This window comes from Homo sapiens, chromosome 13 (assembly GCF_000001405.40).
Source record: "Homo sapiens chromosome 13, GRCh38.p14 Primary Assembly".
NCBI lineage: Eukaryota > Metazoa > Chordata > Mammalia > Primates > Hominidae > Homo > Homo sapiens.
Window position 1 is genome coordinate 77,644,118 of NC_000013.11, and position 19,619 is coordinate 77,663,736.

General features: G+C 41.6%; 1 protein-coding gene and 2 pseudogenes across 26 annotated transcripts in view, besides 1 other annotated feature; 2 read left to right on the forward strand and 1 right to left on the reverse strand.

Annotated features, from left to right (window-relative positions):
* SCEL (sciellin) overlaps nucleotides 1-1,146 on the forward strand; it is a 109,558-nt gene extending 108,412 nt beyond the window's left edge. For all 25 annotated transcript variants that reach the window (NM_144777.3, XM_011535290.2, XM_011535283.2 and 22 more), the window contains one exon: nucleotides 141-1,146. In NM_144777.3, coding sequence (NP_659001.2) covers nucleotides 141-157 — 17 coding nt within the window. In that variant the 3' untranslated portion in view covers nucleotides 158-1,146. The remainder of the gene's footprint in view (nucleotides 1-140) is intronic.
* SPTLC1P5 (serine palmitoyltransferase long chain base subunit 1 pseudogene 5) lies at nucleotides 15,254-15,555 on the forward strand (annotated as a pseudogene).
* Nucleotides 17,259-18,509, reverse strand: LOC100129307 (putative UPF0607 protein ENSP00000383144; annotated as a pseudogene). Its single transcript, NR_172722.1, has one exon. The product of NR_172722.1 is annotated as a putative UPF0607 protein ENSP00000383144 (transcript).
* Nucleotides 19,051-19,229: a silencer, noted in NCBI's record as "fragment chr13:78237303-78237481 (GRCh37/hg19 assembly coordinates)". NCBI's record gives its function as "represses an EF-1alpha promoter that drives an FKBP-Casp9 reporter gene in an ReSE screen in HepG2 liver carcinoma cells and K562 erythroleukemia cells {active_cell/tissue: HepG2 | K562}" and the evidence as "EXISTENCE:reporter gene assay evidence [ECO:0000049][PMID:32094911]".

Below are 19,619 nucleotides of genomic sequence, written 5' to 3' on the forward strand. Positions count from 1 at the left end.
ACAGCGATTATTTCAGAAGTGGAAGGAAAAGTGGAATCCTTAATCTACCACTACCCGTTGGGTGAATAATAGTCTGTAAATTTTAATGATGAGCTTGTTTCTGTACTGAATTTGCACGTCTTTTTTCTTTTAATTTGCAGCAAAGTGGATTCCATAACTCTGGCACAAGGAAATCAAGATGAAAAGCACTCATTAAGGAATTAAAGTTACAAGTTTTATCTTAATAATATGTAATCTAGAAAAGCTTTCACATTGAAGATCAACTCTTGTACAAAATTAACAATTCTGTTATTGCATAAGTAATCTAATTGTCTTCAATAAGGTCACACACATAAAAAGAGCCATCTGGTCTCTGGCTAGAGTTAGCAATAAAAAGTTCAAATGGTTCCAGATTCCAGTGTCAAAGGAGTGATGCATTACACTCCAGCCAGGTCCATCCCTGCTCCGTATGTTGGCTGTGAGTGGTGGTTTCCATTTAAACCAAGTTTCTCATTTCTTCACCTTTTTTTCTCTAAGAATTTGGATTCGTAGACATTGACATCCCGAAGAACTGTCAAGGAAGCAAGATATGCTTTCTTCATCTGCAAAAGAAATACTAACAACAATTTTCTTATACAGTTTGGCAGAAAGATGTTAACATAAAAAGTTTATATACCTCAAAAATCACTAAACTTTCCAGATCTCTGTCCTATTATTTGTAACACAAGGGGCATTGGATAAAATGATTTCTAGGGTTCCTTTTGCTTCCCAAATTCTCTGATTCTAAAGCAGTTTTTAGAATCATTAGCTCTTTGGAAACATATATGCATACATGTTTGTTAAGCCTATTGAACTAGGTAGGACATATAAACAATTTAATTTTAGTGTCATTGTTTAATCACAGACTTAGTGTTTGAAAACTGTGTTTTAAAAACAGAAACAGATTGATGGGTAACAGGTAAAATATGACATGTATAGCTTACATGTTATTATTTGTTAAATTTTCTTTGTATACATTTCAAAATCTGGGTATACTTATAATCCATTAGAAGTAATGGTTATGGACTAAAAAGATATGTTCTTTAGTATGTTATATATACTCATATTACATAGCAGTATGTTTACAAAAGGCTTATAAAAATAAAATGAACTATCAGTTACATAGAATCTTTATGTGAAGTGTTTGTAAATATAATTCACTAACATCAATTTTGTCAATTATAGTGATCACAATCTATTATATTCTCTGCAGCACTAATTTATTTTTAACTGCTCAAGCTATAGATTTTATTTTTAAGAAACTTTTCTGAAGAAATTGAACATGTAATAATCATGTGAGGAACTAGTATAATTAACATTGGGAAATTGAACTTCTAAACCATTTAATTGCATATAGCAACTGTTTCTAGAAAAAAGATGTATGGAACATGGAAGTGGGGGCAGAATTCTAGAGAAGTTTTAAGGCAGTTGTGGAAAACTGCTATAAACTAGGGAGATTAAAAGATTATCATGTATTTTCCAAATGTTAATACATTCAAAGAATTATTCTTCTGTGTAATAATTTCATGCCTCTGTTCCTCTTAAAGCCTGGTTCACAAAGTGTTAAACATAAAATGCTTATCAAAATACAGCAATGTATAATTGTTGTCCAATGAAAAGGGAGCCAGGAAAAACAATTAATAATAATTTTATATTCATTAATTCATGCTTGATGAGAAGCAGTGGTAATTGAGCCACATGTTTTATTGTTCTTTTATTATACGCTATCAGAGTGATCAAAAGAAATAATTTTCTCAGAGTTGAAATTCACTGCAGAAAAGGATGGATGAAATAGTATCCCTCTCTTTCATATAAAGTATATTAACATCTGAATGCTTTTGTAGTAATTAAAATCATCTGAATATCATTTAAAAAGTATAAAAACCTAAAAGGAACACATTTCTCATTTTTCTATAGCTGTTTAATTGGCCCTCTCTCCTACAATAATGTATTAAATCAAACCAAAAGCTGTTGTAAAAATGGAATAGACATGAAATGGAGAGAGAAGTGTTTCTGATTCATCAAGATCACTTCATTATGTCTGGGTTTATTTTCACTATAGAAGTGACAGATTCCCAAAACAACTTACAAGATCTCACATTTTTTGCAGGCTATTAATTATGTTATGACTGACACTGTTCCTGGACACAATTGCCTAAATCTAGGGATACTAGATCCTGAATTCTATCACCAATAAAAAGATGTCTCTAAAAGAGAATGAATAGCTTCATCATGACAATATCCTTCTAAATAAAAGTCAAAGACATATAATAATCTCAGAAATAGTATAGTATAAAATGATATTCTCTCCTTTAATAAGGCCAAGAAATAAGAATTTATTCAAGAAGTAATATGTATATCTTAATGGTTTGATTGCAGTCACTCTACTTATTAGATATGAGTGATGAGATGGTCCAGCTATCACTACTGTGCATTCCCTGACTTGTTTACTATGATAGAAAATTGTGAGTGTTTGGAACATTCAGCTTGATAAAGAACTCTACCAAAACAAGTAACTGTTGGGTCTACATCATGGCAAACTAAAAAGGATGTTGGTTTTTTTTTTTTTTTGGTACTACTGAATTTGCTGGTTATTTTGATACAACGTAAATAAATTGCTGTTAAAGTTCCCCCTATTCCCTAGTGCTCAACAGTTCCCAGAGCCACCTATAAATATGTGTATAACATGGGCAAGCCATATTCCCTTTTGGCCCCATTCCCTACTGTTTAAACTATGGGGTTTAGAATATCGACTCTTGAATGTTTCCACCAACTCAAATATCACATGACTATGAATCTATTCCTGCTACTTATCCGGTTCTTAGATGATATCTTTTATTAGATGCATAAGAGTTGTTGAATATTTTGTATGTACTTTAGAATTGCATGTTGACTTTATCACAACACAAGTTGAGGCACCATTTTGACCCTTATTTACTGGATCTTTGTCCTGCTTAGAAAGTATGCCTTCTGGCCGGGCACGGTGGCTCGCACCTGTAATCCTAGCACTTTGGGACGCCAAGGTGGGCGGATCACCTGAGGTCAGGAGTTCGAGACCAGCCTTACCAACATGGAGAAACCCTATCTCTACGAAAAAAATACAAAATTAGCCAGGCATGGTGGCATATGCCTGTAATCCCAGCTACTTGGGAGGCCGAGGCAGGAGAATTGCTTGAACCCGGGAGGCAGAGGTTGTGGTGAGCTGATATCGTGCCATTGCACTCCAGCCTGGGCAAAAAGAGCAAAACTCCATCTAAAAAAGAAAAACGCCTTCTGAGAGATATTACTGAAATACTCAAATGTATGAGGTAGGCAGTGATTTCAATGTTTTCACTGTATGAGAGGAAAGTGAACATCATCATTGCCTTATAAATGCCTTCTGGAAAGGATCTTTTATTCTCTTTGATACATTCTTCTCATTAATACATTTAAATGCCCAATTATTCTAGGTTCCTTAGAAAAAATGCATGGTTTATAATCTATCATCGTTCATTCATTTATTCATTTGTTCTGTTATTCAATAACTTAAAAAAAGACCTACGTTCTAGGTCCCAGGTATAACCCAAACAGTCAAGGTTCCTGACCTCATGAAACTTACATTCTAAAGCCAGCAGGAGGTGGAGGAGGAGTTTGAAAGTCAGAAAACAAATTAATACAATAATTCTGAAATTGATAAGACTTATGAATGAGTGAAATACAGTGACTAGGTGAAGGGGTAGTTTTAGAAATAAAGTGGTCAGGTGAGGAGGTAATATTTCAAATCAGATCTGGATGATGGGAAGGAGTCAGCCTGGGAAAAAGCCATCCAGGAGAAGATGTCTTAGAATTGGCCCAAATCAGGCCATTTGTCTGGGCTAAACTGAACCTTGCTTCTTTTAAATGTAATGAGATGGAAGTTCAAAGGTGCCAGGAGACAGAGACCAGTCAAAAGATTTGTAAGTTTCCTCTATTTGTAAGACTTGTAAGTTTCCTCTATTATATGGTTACACGGGGAGCCATGTAAGACAAAAATCAGATATTACTCAGACTGCTTTCAATTCTCTGCCATGGTGGGTTACCCAAATGGCTGCTGAGTCCTGGACTTCAGGCTGAAGTTGCTTACGTGGGCCCAGGAAGGCTCTGGTGACTATTTCAAAGGTGGGATGAGTAAGGTCTGAACCAACCTGCATCTTGAGGGGAAGTAATGGATCCTGTATGACATTTCCACTCCTCATCTGAGGCCCTAAGGATCATATCCCTTTCTGTTTTCCAAATAGAAACATTAAACAGTAAGGCAGCATCATTTCACATTTAGGAGAGACTTCTCATAGGAATTTTATAAACGTGTTATTTTCCTTTGTTAAAATATGAATAATGCATCTGGAAGAAAGAAACTTTTTTCTTGGTATAACTTTCTTAATAGCTGAAATGAAGTAATTTTACCTATTTTCCTAAGACAAAAGGAAAGATTGTGAGCTTTAGGGGTCCTTCAGCTCATAAAGGCAAACCGAATTGAAAGTCTCCCACAAGAAAGTGTTTAGGCCCTAAGTCCAGTGAACTTCAGCGTGACTTAGGAAATACTAAAGACATAGAAAGACTGCCAGGAGGCTGGAATTAGGAGGCTGGAATGAGCATGAAGAGATGAGGCTGAAGAAACAGGCAAGAGGCTGGTCATCATAAATTCATAATGCATCCTTAAAGATATACATCATTAAGTGAATGTTGAAATTTGGTAGAATTCATTTATGCCTTTTAGATTTGTATCATTAAAATATTGAGTATGATTGATTTCACAAACAGGTTAAAATTATATTAAGACAAATATAGTCAACTGATTTTTGACAAAGGCACAAAGGCAATTCAATGGAGAAAGAAAGAGTCTTTAAAAATGGCATTGGTGCTGGAAAAATTGGATACTCAAATGCAAAAACAACGTAAACAAACAAAACCTACACACAGACCTTACACCTTTCACAAAGATTGACTCAAAATGGATCACAGACTTAAATGTAAAATGCAAAATTATAAAACTTCTAGAATAACACAGGAGAAAAGCAACATGAGTTTTTAGATACATCACCAAAAGCATGCTCTATAAAAAATGGTTGTATATAAGTTGAAATTTGTTAAAACTAAAAACTTCTGCTCTGTGAAAGACATTGTTAAGAGAATAAAATATAAGCCACCAACTGGAAGAAAATATTTGCAAACAGATACCTGATTAGAAACTTGTCCCTAGTATATAAAAATAATTCTTAAAACTCAACATAAGAAAACAAAAAACTTAGTTTAAAAAAAATGGGCAGAAGACCTGAACAGACACCTCACCAGAGAAGATATACAGATGTCAAATAAGCATATGAAAGATGCCCAGCAACATTTGTCACTAGGAAAATGCAAATTGAAACAACAAGGAGATACTACTATATGCTTATTAGAATAGCTAAAATCTAAAAACTGATAATATCAATTGTCAGCAAGTATTCAGAGCGATAGGGATTCTCATATTCATTGTTACAGGAATGCAAAATGGTATAGCCACTGCCATAGTTTGGATGGTTGTTCCATCCAAATCTTGTGTTAAAATTTGATCCCCATTGTTGGAGATGGGGTCTAATGGGAGGTGTTTGGGTAACTGGGGAAAGTCCTTTATGAGTGGCTTGGTGTCATCCTTACAGTAATAAGTGTGTCTCACTCTATTAGTTCCCACAAGAGCTGCTTGTTAAAAAGAGCCTGTTGCCTCCTGCCTCTTTTTATTCCTTCCTCTCTTGCATTAGATCTTTCACACACTGGCTACTCTTCATCTATTACCATGAGTGAAAGCAGCCTGAGGCTTTCACCGGATGTCTGGTCTTCCAGCCAGCAGAATTGCAAGCCAAATAAACCTTTTTTCTTTATTAACTATCCAGCCTCAGATATTTCTTTCTTTTTTTCTTTTTTTTTTTTTTCTTGAGGCAGAGTCTCTCTCTGTCGCCCAGGCTGGAGTGCAGTGGCATGATCTTGGCTCACTGCAACCTCTGCCTCCTGGGTTCAAGTGATTCTCCTGCCTCAGCCTCCCAAGTAGCTGGGACTACAGGCGTGTGCCACCAGGCCCGGCTAATTTTTTGTATTTTTAGTAGAGACGCGGTTTCACCGTGTTAACCAGGATGGTCTTGATCTCCTGACCTCGTGATCCACCTGCCTCGGCCTCCCAAAGTGCTGGGATTACAGGCGTGAGCCACCGCACCCAGCCAGATATTTCTTTATGGCAACACAAATGGACTAAGATATCCACCTCAGAAAACAGTTTGGCAGTTTCTTAAAAAGCTAAACATAGTCTTAAAATATGATCCAGAAATTATCCTCCCAGGTATTTACCCAAATGATTTGATAACTTATATGCATACAAAAAGCTGTACATAGATATTTATAGCAATTTTATTTATAATAATAAACAACTGGAAGAAATCAAGTTGTCCTTCAATAAAGAAGTAGCTCAACATACTGTGGTATATCTATACAATGGAATAATATTCAGCAATGAAAAGGAATAAACTACTTAGTCTATAGAAATATGAATATATCTCAACTGCCTATTGCTAAGTGAATGAAGACTCCATACTCTATGATTTCATTTATATAAGTCTGAAAAAGACTCCATACTGTGTGATTTCATTTATATAACATTCTAGAAAAGGCAAAACCATAGAGACAGTAGACAGATCAATGGTTGCTAGGGATTCAGGGAAAGTGTGTGTGTTGGGGGTGGTGGTGCAGATGGAGAGTTGAATAAGTGAAGCACAGGGAGTTTCTTAGGGCAATAGAACTAATAGAGTATTCTGTGTGATACTCTAATAATGAATACATGACACTGTGTCTTCATCAAAACCCACAGAACTTTACAGTACAAAGAATGAACTCTAATAATAGACAAATTGAAAATATCATTTAGGAGGTCAGGGGCAGGGGATTTCAACATGAAATGCAGAATGTGACAAAAGAGTCTAATGATACAGTATCACTAAAAGGTAAGGGGGAAAAGGTCTTGACCTAAGTGACTTTGAAAATGAGTAAAGATTGTAAGACTGAAGGCAAAGCAACTGTATACTGACGTTGTACTCTAGTTGATAAAGTTCTTTCCCATGGGCATAAGGGTTAACAACTCTGAAACCACTATACATGTATCCTGGAATTGAACAGTTAAGTAAATGGATAGCAGATTGTGGGAGCCAGGCTTTTCACTGTTGCAATTGATGGTTATGGATAAGCAAGCAAAGGAGGCTAGAATGATCCATGCGGCAATGAAAAAGAGTTGGAATTATCAGTATGAACTCATGTTGGTTTAATACAGATGCAGATGGTTATATATAGACATTTGTAGGTATGTGTATATAAATATCTATATCAGTTACCATACATATATGTATTTCCTTGCTCTCTCAGATGAGAATGCCTAGAAGCCATGAAACTCCAGTGGCAGTGAGCATATCTTGCATTCAGGTCTTGATTTCTCATACCATCCCCCATAGAAGGAACCAGCACTCTGGCGATATGGCTGGTTCTTGGACTAGAGCAGGATGTACATAAGATAAACCTGGAGCATCTTATAGTGCCAGAAAATAAGGAAGAGCTCAAACACACACATATGCACACAAAATGATGTGAACATGTTAAAGGGACATAGAGAAGTCAACTGAAAGAGCTCCCAATGGCCAAACCTGGGAACAATTTGAGCAACAAAATAAATTATGTAGTATTGAATTATAACCCAAAGTATAAAATAAATATCCATGAGGCTATGATGGTGTAAGTAAATAATGGAATAAATAAATAAATGGAGAAGAAGACAGAAATCTCCCATGTGAAGAATTCCAAATAATTTATGTAGCTATCCCATTGTTAAGGAGATGGAACATAACTCTCCACTCCTAAAGTATGAGCTGTGCATAGTGACTTCCTTCCAAAGAGCACAGTATGGAAAGAAGGGGGAAAAGAGTAACTTTATGGTGGAGAAACCTGACAAACACTTCCTCAGCCAAGTGATCAGGATTAACATCAACAGTAATAAATCATATCACTGGCACATACCCTCAATATGATGTGTTAGAAGTGGCCCTATACCTCTGCATTCTTCTTCCTTGAAATGCATAACTCCAGTCTAATCATGAGATAAATATCCTTGAAACCCATAACTCTAGTCAAATCATGAGATAAACATCAGAAATACCTTAACTGAGGGCCCAGTACTCCTCAAAATTGTTAAGGTTATCAAAAACAAGAAAGTCTGAGAAACTGTCATAACCAAGAAGAGGCTAAGGAGATATGACAACTAAATGTAATATGGTATCCTGGATGGGATCCTGGAATGGAAAAAAAAGACATTAGGTAAAAACTAAGCGAATCTGAATAAAATACAGATTTTAGTTTATAATGGGTTTATCAATTATGACAGATGTACGATACTGATGTTGGATGTTAATAATACGGGAACCTGAGTGTGGGGTACACAAGACCTGTATACTATCTTCACAGTTTTTTTGTATGTCAAGAACTACTCTAAAATATAGTTTTTAAAATAAATCAAATTGAAAAATTAGTACGAAAACCTCTATGCCATTTCACTATTGCTAGGCATGTAAACATTTAGATATTGTATTAGGTAGAGTACAGGCTAAGCTTCTGTAACAATGAGATTCAGAAAGACAGTGGCTCCAAACACATAGAAATTTATTTTTCTCCCCACATAACAGTCCAGAATTAGGTTGTGGTCCAGGGAAGGCAAGCAGCTCTGTTTCTAGTTCATCCAGGGATGCAGGTTCCTTCTGTCTTATTGCTCCACCATCCCCTAGCAAGCTGCTTTCAATACCAGGTCAAAGCAGGCTCTCCAGCTCTGCTTCCCCTTTCCAGCATTCAGGCAAGGGGGAGTGGAAAGCAGCCATCTTCCTTTCTAAGGATGTGACACAAAAGTTGCACATGATTTCCACTCACATCTCATTTGACATACCTTGGGACACTTGACTAGGTGTAGTTGCACAAGAGAATGAAATGTAGTCTCTAGCTATGAGTTTCCATTACATTTAAGGAGTTTCTATTACTAAAGGAAGAAAGCAGAATGAATATTGGGAATAAAGAGCAATATCTGTTAAAAAAAAAAAAAAAAACTGTTTCTAGAGTTGCTTGTGCAAGTACCCAAGTCCACCTTTCTTCCTACACACATAACTCTCCTCAAGGAAGACATCTCTAAGTCCCATTCAATTACCCATCCAGCTAACAGGCTAGGAATTCTGGTTGACCCTTAGTGCCCTCTGTTAGGTGCTGATATGACTTCTTCCAGTCCAGAGACCTATAGACTGAAATATGAGTTATCTATCCTCCCAGGTGCCCAATACATGTCTGTGGAGTAGGAACAAGATAATCACAATGAGAACTCTCATTCAGAAAAGGGAAGGATGGAGATTAGCAGTCTGTGGTCTGTGTTAGCTAACAATTTTGCCAGGCAGTAATTATGAAAAGTTTCCTCTGGTATTAAGTTCCTGGGTTTGACCTGATTCTGCTGTCTGAGAGGGACGCCTTTGTCCGCTTGCCTCCATGGTCACACCTGAGGTGGACGTTGAAGAGTTTGGCCTCCTTGTGGCTGCACAGCTTTTATGACCTGCTTTCTACAGGTGTGGGTTTGGGGACAGAAAAGTTACTTCAGGGTGAGAGGAGGGAATGGCAAACTATCACAGCTTCTGTAAGTCTGGTTTATGTTTTATTTTTAAGCAGTACAATCTGCTCAAAAATGTAATAGACTTCTAGTCTATTTCCTTCTAGTCAGTTCCATATGAGGGAAACCTTAGCAAAGGCCTTAGGTGGTCATAGTTCTTCCATCTGCAGACTTTTCTCTTTTATTTGCTGGCTTCCATGCTTGGCTCATCCCTCTCTCCCTCAATTGAATGATCTTTGCAGGTGAGTTGATTCCCACTGTTTGAGGAAAAGCACTTAATGGAAGGCCCTGCATGAGTTTCTGAGGGACAGTGATATCTTTTGCTCTTTGTCATAAAGTTGTAGTTGGATTTCCTAGTTTATTAATCCATTCTTGCATTGGCATAAAGAAATACCTGAGACTGGGTAATTTATAAAGAAAAGAGGTTTGTCTCACAGTTCCATAGGCTGTACAGGAAGCATAATGCTGACATCTGCTCAGCTTCTGGGAAGGCCTTAGGAGACTTACAATTATGGAGGAAGGCAAAGGGGGAGTGAGGCAGCTCACATGGTGGGAGCAGGAGCAAGAAAGAGAAAGTGGGGAGGTACTACACACTTTTAAACAACCAGATCTCATGAGAACTCACTATGTTGAAGACAACACCAAGGGGGATGGTGCTAAACCATTCATGAGAAACTGCCCCCATGATCCAATCACCTCCCACCAGGCCCCACCTCCAACACTGGGAATTACATTTCAACATGAGATTTAGTGGGGGCACAGATCAAAACCATATCATCTAGCTTGGTTAAATCCTCAATCACTGGACTCCCAGTCTATCTATCTATCTATCTATCTATCTATCTATCTATCTATCTATCTATCTATCTGATAGATAATAGATGTACATATATTCAGGGTACATGTGATAATTTGATACATTCATATAACCTATAAAGATCAAATCAGGGTAACTGGGGTATTGACCATCTTGAATATTTATCTTTTGTATATGTGAGAAACATTTGGATTATTCTCTTCTAGCTTTTTGAAATGTACAAAGACTTATGATTGTTAATTATAGTCACCCTACTGATCTATTGAACACCAGGTCTTATTTCTTCTATCTAACTATATATTTGTACCCATTAAACAACCTCTCTTCATCCTCCCCTTCTGCCAACCCTTCCTGGCCTCTGGTAACCACCAAAATACTCTCTATCTTCATGAGAACCACTTTTTTTAGCTCCCAATTATGAGTGAGAGCATGTGATATTTGTCTTTCTATGCTTGGCTTATCTCACTTAACATAATGACCTCCAGGTCCATTCATGTTGTTGCAAGTGACAAGATCTGATTCTTTTTTATATCTAATATCATATATATGTATATATACATATATATATATAATTTTCTTCATTCATTCATTGACAGGCTTTTAGGTTTATTCTATATTTTGGCTACTTTGAATAGTGCTGCAGTAAACATGATAGTGCAGATATCTCTTCAATATGTTGATTTCCTTTCTTTTGGCTATCTACCCAATAATGGAATTGCTGAATTATATAGTAGTTCTATTTTTAAATTTTTAAGGGACCTCCATACTGTTTCCTAGAGCGGCTGTACTAATTTACATTCCCATCAACAGTGTAGGAGGGTTCCTTCCCCTTTCTCCACATCCGCAGCAGAATCAACTGGTCCCTGTCTTTTTTATAAAAGCCACTTTAACTGGGATGAGATGATACCACGTTGTAGTTTTAATTTGCATTTCTCTGAAGATTAGTGATGTACATTTTTTCATATACCTATTGGACATTTGTATGTCTTTTTCTGAAAAATGGTCAGATCTTTAGTCCATTATTAAGTCAGATTATTAGATTTTTCCTGTTTGAGCTCCTTATATAGTCTAGTTATTAATCTCTTGTCAGCTGGATAGTTTGCAAATACTTTATCCCATTCTGTGGGTTGTCTCTTCACTTTGTTCTCTTTCCTTTGCTGTACAGAAGCTTTTTAGCTTGGTGTACTCCCATTTATCTAAGTATGCTTATGTCACCTGTGCTTTTGAGGTCTTATACAAAAAATGTTTGCCCCAACCGATGTTACAGATAATTTCCCGAATGTTTTCTTCTAGTAATCTCATAATTTCATGTCTTAGATTTAAGTCTTTAATCTATTTTTATTTGATTTTGTATATGGTGAGAGATAGGTTTCTGGTTTCATTCTTCCTCATATGGATATTCAGTTTTCCCAGCACGATTTATTGAAGAGACTGTTCTTTCCCATTGTTCTTGGTGCCTTTGTTGAAAATGAATTAGCTGTAAATGTATGGATTTATAGCTGGGTTCTCTGTTCTGTTCCATTGGTCTAGATGCCTGTTTATATGCCAGTACCATGTTGATTTGGTTATTATAGCTTTGTAATATATTTTGAAGTCAGGAAGTGTGATGCCTACAGCTTTGTTCCTTTTCCTCAGGATTGCTTTGGCTATTCCTGGGTTACTTGGGGTATTTTGTGGTTCCATATAAATTTTAGGATTTTTTTTCTATTTCTGTGAATAATGTCCTTGGTAATTTGATTGGGATTGCATTGAATCTGTAAATTGTTTTGAGTAATATTGATATACAAATTTAGCAGTATTAATTCTTCTAATCCCTGATCATGGAATAGCTTTCCAAATTTTGTGTCCTCTTCAATTCCTTTTACCAAAGTTTTATAGTTTTCCTTGTAGAGATCTTTCACTTCTTTGGTTAATTCCTAGGTATTTTACATTCTTTGTCATTATTGTAATTGGAATTATTTTCCTGATTTCTTTTTCATATTGTTTGCTCTTGGTGTATATAAATGTCACTGATTTTTTGTATGTTGATTTTGCATCCTGCAACTTTACTGAATTCATTTATCGGTTCTACCCACTTTTTGGCTAAGTCATTAGGATTTTTAAAATATAAATCTTGTAATCTGTGAACAAGGCTAATTTGACTTCTTCCTTTTCAATTTGGATGCCCTTTCTTTCTTTTCTTTTCTTTTTTTCTTTTTTTTTTTTTTGCCTAATTGCTCTGTCCAGGACTTCTAGTACTATGCTGAATAAAAGTGGTAAAAGTGGGCATCTTTTTCTTGTTCTAGATCTTAGAGAAAAGGCTTTTAATTTTTTTCCCATTCAATATAATGTTTGCTGTGGGCTGATAAGAGATATATTGAGATATCTTCCCTTCTATAACCAGTTTTTTAGGATGTTGATCATAAAGGGATATTGAATTTTATGAAATGTTTTTTAGAATCTATTGAAATAATATGGTTTTAGATATAGATATAGTCTATTCTGGAGAATGTTCCATGTGCTGATGAAAAGAATGTGTATTCTATGACATTTGACTGAAATGCTCTGTAAATGTCAATTTTGATTACAGGTCTCAGGGCTGAACTGCAACATGTAGGCATCTGTGCTTGCAAACTGACTAAATTCTGCTTTACTTCATCTCTCTCATGGTAAATGCAGTGTCTTTGTCCATTTGAGCTGTGATAGCAAAATACAATAAACTGGGTAGCTTATCAACAGCAAAACATTATTTCTCACAGTTTTGAAAGCTGCGAAGTCTAAGATCAAGGTGCCGGCAGATTTGGTTTCTGCTGCCGTCCTACTTTCTGGTTCAGAGATGGAACCTTCTTGCTGTGCCTTCAAATGGTAGAAAAACAAAGAAGCCCTCTGCGGCCTCTTTTATGAGGGCACCATCTCATTCATGAGGGCTCCACCTTCATGATCTAATTACCTCCCAAAGGCCCCACCTCTGAATATCATCACACTGGAGAATAGGTTTTCAACATATGAACTTTGGAAGGATACAAACATTTGAGCCATAGCGTTCAGTAAGAAACAGTTAAAATATACGAATATTCTAGGTTTTCCCAATCTCTTTTTCTAGCATGGGCCTCGTAGGTAACTAAGGCAAGTGAGACCTTTGTCAAATATTTTGCCATGGCATAAGAAGAGTCAAGAAACTTTTAGTTTCAACATTTATTTCTTCATTCCTATTACAAAAACAATTAACTAATAGCATGTGTTTTAGGCTCCTGTTTGATAGCACCTGATTCCTAGTACCAATCTCTATATAAATTAGGGCAGAGCTAAGTGACGTAGCAAAAACCTCTAAAATACAGTGGCTCAAACAAGATAGAATTTTTAAAAAATATATATTTCTCACTTGAAAACAAAAGTAGGCTCTGCCCAGGAAAGTGTCCCAAGCATATGTTGCACTGCCGTCCGCTAGTATCTCATGATCAAAGCCGAAGGCCGAGTGCGGTGGCACACGCCTGTAATCCCAGCACTTTGGGAGGCTAAGGCGGGAAGGCTGCTTGAAGCCAGGAGTTGAAGACCAGCCTGGACAACACAGCAAAACCTCATCTCTACAAAAAATACAAAAATTAGTGGGGCATGGTGGTACATGCCTGTAGTCCCAGCTACTTGGCAGGCTGAGGTGGGAGGATCACTTGAACTCAAGAGTCAGAGGTTGTGGTGAGACAAGATCGCACCACTGCACTGTAGCCTGGGCAACAGAGTGAGACCCTGTCTCAAAAAAGGAAACAAAACAAAACAAAATAACCCTGGCTCACCAGCTCTATAATTGCCCCAATGAGAAGAGAAAAAGAATGGATGTGATGAAGAAGCTACTCTATTCCTTTCACTCATATCCAATTGGCCATTTATATCCCATTTCACACCTAACTCCAAGGGAGGTTGTGAAATGTAGCTTCTAGCTACATGCCTGCTAAAATGAGGGCCTTATAACTAAAGAAAGACTACGGGAGCTGGTAAAAGTCTCAGCTATAGATTCCTGTGAGCCAGGGCCTCTGACCTGGCCCCTGTGATAGCTCATCAGCCAGTGGTAGCCCATAGCCTCCTGCGAAACATCTCTTTGCATACAAAGGTACTGTGATTCGATCTCCCCAACGATTTTTAATAATATCTTTTCCTGTTGAACAAAGGATTTAAGATCTGTGTGGTGATTTTAGTATGATTCTGGCCTGATGTCCTCAATTTACAGGATCTGAAGATGAAGAGAGTTGGGGACGTGACTCTCCCAGGTAAACAGCCACATTTAGCAGACAGGACATTCCAAGGACTTAGAAGTTATCTCCCAGGGCTCTAGGGCAAGGCCAAACTCTGATTGCTTCCATGAGATAGCCAGTTTGTTAGTGGCAAAGCTAAGATTGGAACCCAGCATGCTGAAATTTCTTTCACTATATATGGGGTTTTAAAATGAATATGATAATCTAAAAATTATCCCACTAGAATGGAATACAGTGACACACTTAGCCTTATATGCCATTCTCTTATTTGGATAATGCAGTATTTTATTAATTTTTAGAATTACAGTGACACGCTGCTAACTCCTACTTAACTTGTGGTTTTTACTTGTCTGGATCGATTTTATGCCATACATTTGCAAAGTAAGTTCTGTCCTAGCATGCATTTGTATAGATTTCTTCTTTCGTGAGTTACTTCTTGTACTCTGCATGTGTCACTTTTGAATTAGTTAAATTTGTAGTCCTCTTGGAGCCTGTTTAATATGAGATGCTTTAACACATCAAACCCGAGGACATGCTTGTGACCCGCCTTCTGGAAGGAAGTGGCTAACTCTGGTGACCGCCATGGAGCAGTGGGTTCTGGTGGAGATGGTACAGGCGCTTTACGAGGCTCCTGATTACCATCTTATTTTGGAAGGGATTCTGATACTCTGGATAATCAGACTTCTTTTCTCTAAGACTTACAAATTACAAGAACGATCTGATCTTACAGTCAAGGAAAAAGAAGAACTCATTGAAGAGTGGCAACCAGAACCTCTTGTTCCTCCTGTCCCAAAAGACCATCCTGCTCTCAACTATAACATTGTTTTAGGACGGAGTCTTGCTCTGTCACCAGGCTGGAGTGCAGTGGTGCGATCTTGGCTCACTGCAACCTCCATCTCCCGGGTTCAAGCCATTCTCCTGCCTCAGCCTCCCGAGTAGCTGGGACTACAGGCACAAGCCACCATGCCTGCCTAATTTTTGTATTTTCAGTAGAGATGGAGTTTCACCATGTTGGCCAGAATGATCTCGATCTCCTTTTTTTTAATTAAAAAGTAAACTTTAATGTCAAAAATGCAAACTTGGGGAGGGCAGAAAGATCACACACAAGGCTGTCATTTCACACTTGGAAGGTTGCACAGCAGCCGGGCAGAGACGCTCCTCACTTCCCAGATGGTGAGGGGGCCAGGCAGAGGCGCTCCTCACTTCCCAGGTGGTGGGGGGGCTGGGCAGAGGCGCTCCTCCCTTACAAACGGTGAGGGGGCCGGGCAGAGGTGCTCCTCACTTTCCAGACAGGGCGGCGGCTGGGCAGGGGCGCTCCTCACTTCCCAGGCGGTGCGGGGGATGGGCAGAGGCGCTCCTCCCTTACAAACCGTGAGGGGGCCGGGCAGAGGCACTCCTCACTTCGTACATAGGGCGGCGGCTGGGCAGAGGCCCTCCTCACTTCGCAGACAGGATGGTGGCAAGGCAGAGGCGCTTCTCATTTCCCAGACGGTGAGGGGGCCGGGCAGAGGCACTCCTCACTTCGCAGACAGGATGGAGGCGAGGCAGAGGCGCTTCTCATTTCCCAGACGGTGAGGGGGCCGGGCAGAGGCACTTCTCACTTCGTAGACATGGCTGCGGCTGGGCAGAGGCCCTCCTCACTTCGCAGACAGGACGGCGGCGAGGCAGAGGCGCTCCTCATTTCCCAGACGGTGAGGGGGCCGGGCAGAGGCACTTCTCACTTCGTAGACATGGCTGCGGCTGGGCAGAGGCCCTCCTCACTTCGCAGACAGGACGGCGGCGAGGCAGAGGCGCTCCTCATTTCCCAGACAGTGAGGGGGCCGGGCAGAGGCACTTCTCACTTCGTAGACATGGCTGCGGCTGGGCAGAGGCACTCCTCACTTCGCAGACAGGACGGCGGCAAGGCAGAGACGCTCCTTACTTCCCAGATGGGGCAGCGGCTGGGCAGAGGTGCTCTTCACTTCCCATACCATGAGGTGGCCAGGCAGAGGTGTTCGTCACTTCCCAGATTGGGTGGAGGCCGGGCAGAGGCAGTGCTCCTCCTCAATTCCCAGATGGTTGGCGGCTGGGCAGAGGTGCTCCTCACTTCCCAGACAGGGCAGTGGCCAGGCAGAAGTGCTCCTCACTTCCCACGGTGTAAGGGGGCCAGGCAGAGGCACTCCTCGCTTCGCAGACAGGACGGCAGCCGGGCAGAGGCACTCCTCACTTCCCAGACAGGGCGGCAGCCTGGCAGAGGCACTCCTCACTGCCCAGACGGGGCAGGGCCCAGGCAGAGGCGCCCCTCACTTCCCAGACTGTGAGGCGGCTGGGCAGAGGTGCTCGTCACTTCCCAGATAGGGTGGGGGCCCGGCAGAGGCACTCCTCACTGCCCAGACGGTGTGGTGGCCAGGCAGAGGCGCTCCTCACTTCCCAGACGGTGGGGCAGCTGGGCAGAGGCGCTCCTCACTTCCCAGATGGTGCAGGCAGAGATGCTCCTCAGGTCTCAGTCTCTTGACCTCCTGATCCGCCCACCTGGACCTCCCAAAGTGCTGGATTACAGGCGTGAGCCACCACACCTGCCCTGCCGTCTCTTCTTTCTCCTCCTAAGCAGCTGTCTTAGTCTCCTGAATTTTGATGTTCTACTTAACACCCTCATGTTCTTATGCATGTTGCCCTGCTGGAGGTGTCCTTCTCTTTGGGAAGCCTGACCCACCAACAGTGCCTCAGGAGATAGACATGGAAGCTTAGCTGGTGGGGGCCCCTCGTCTCTATCCCACCTCAGTTGCAGGGGAGGGGTCGGTTGCAGCTGCAGTGGTGGCCCCGACAGTTTTCTTTTGTGGGACCTGTGGCCGGCAGCTTTGGGTGGAGAAGACCTACTTGATCCAAGAGCTGCAGGATCCTTGGGCTGCATGTCCTCCCCCACCATCAGCAAGCCTGGAGAGCTGGGCAGGTAGTCTTTACCCAGCACCTTCAAGGCCGCCTTCTCTGGCCACAGGGAGCAGCCCGGAACTGGGGCAGGGAGCACTGTTGGAAGTGAGTCAGGCCTCCCAAAGGGAAGGATGCCTCCAGCAGGGCTGTGTGAACTGGCGACTCCATGGCCCTTGGAGTAGAAACTCACTGCATGCACCTGGGCCTTGTCAGTCTGGTTCTTTTCTGTCAAGCTCTTGAGGTGGACATTTCCCTCCAAGGGCCTGGGATTGTACCAGGAGGAAGTGAGGTTTCCCTGAGTCTCCAGGGGCCTAGAGGTGGAGGCTGCTTCCCCATTGCTACAGGGGCCCCTTTTATTGTCCTCCTGCTCCTGGGTCTCTACCTGGTCTTTCACCTCCGTTGCTTCTTTGGGCTCTTCTGCCCTCACCTCCGTCTTCGGGAGCCTGGCTGGGATCACCTGCTCATCTAATGAAGGAAGTTGAAGGTTAAACTTGCCTCTGAGATGAGGGATCCTCATGGGGCTGAGGTGTCCAAACATCATGGAGTTGCGAGCAGACAGCACGGGTTTCTTCCTTGAGGGGGTGCTCCAGACCACAGGAGGCAGGACCCTCTGTGGGGTGCCCGTGTTCCGAGGGATAAGACACAGCCTCATAGGGTCGCTGTCCCACCTGACTGGAAAAGAAGGCCCAAGATGTCGCTGACGGTTGAAGAGGAGTGGGAAACGGCCCCAGATTCCCGGCGCAGGCACACGTGCAGGAGCCGTGGGGGCAGCCCGGCCAGCTGGGAAGGCCTCACGGACAAGACGAGCAGGTTGCTGATGGCATGGCCAGAACCTGCAGTGGGACCAGGAACAAAATACACTTAGTGAGTTGCCCATTTTGAGCGAGTTGTGCACAGACGAAACTAAGGGTCAGAAGTGGAGAGGATACTCCTAAGTCACCCACTTCTCTGTGGCCGGGTGCACACTGGGCATCTGGGAGTTTATGACATCACCATGGGGCTGGTGACAGAGCCAGGGTGTGGAGGAGTGCTTAGGAGCCCAGTGAGGGTGCCTACAAGAGGAGTCAAAGGGCAAAGGGTGAGACCCTTCCACCGGTCCAGCTGGACTCTAGCCTCAGGGACGTCCTGCTCCTGGGGGCAGGTGTGTGGCCCTGGATGGGCCCCCCTGTGGGGCTGTTGGGGGTGCGGGGCTGATCTGCCAGAGCCCTTCTGCCTGGCGCCTGGCCCAGGTGCTGGCTGGCACCCAGTGGCCCTGTCTTGGCCAGCCCTGTCCCCCGGGTTACAGGGCCAGAACCTGGAAGCAGAGCGCAGGACCAGCCAGATCCCGCCAGGCTCCCCCGGGGCCTCTCCAGTGCCTCTGTGCCACCTGGAGCCAGGCCCGCCTTCTCCATGGCTGCCGTGGCCTCAAGGGCCACCAGCCTCGCTCCGCAGGTTTCCAAAGAGAGGACGCGGTGCCCTGACCTGACTGGGTGCGCCTCTTACCACATGCCTCCCTGGCAGGCAAGGTCTCCACTTTTTACAAATTTGCCTGAGACCATTCCTCAGGTCATTCAGGTGGTCATGGCCCAGCCAGGCTTTGAACCCGGGCTGTGCAATTCCACAGCTGGCGCTCTGGCCTGTGTGCCTCATGATCATGGATACAGCATCTATTCTTATTTTTTCCTGTAGTCCTGGGGGTACTTAGCACCGTGGCATATCTGTAATAAGCACATGCACACCTTGAAGGAGGTCTTCACTTCAACATACAAGTTGACCATGGCATGCTCTGGGCTCCAGTCCTCTACAAAGATGTAGGGCAGGAACTACCAGTTGTCAGCACAGCACCATCCCACATTGCTCTTCTAATGGAGCCTTTCACCCCAGATGTTCTTTCTCGTCTGATGGGAAGGATCCAAGTATGTAAAGATTATGTTCTAGATCAGCTTTGGTCTGTCCTAAAAGAAATTTGCCAGTGGATTATTCCATATGGATAAAAGTCAGTTTCTCT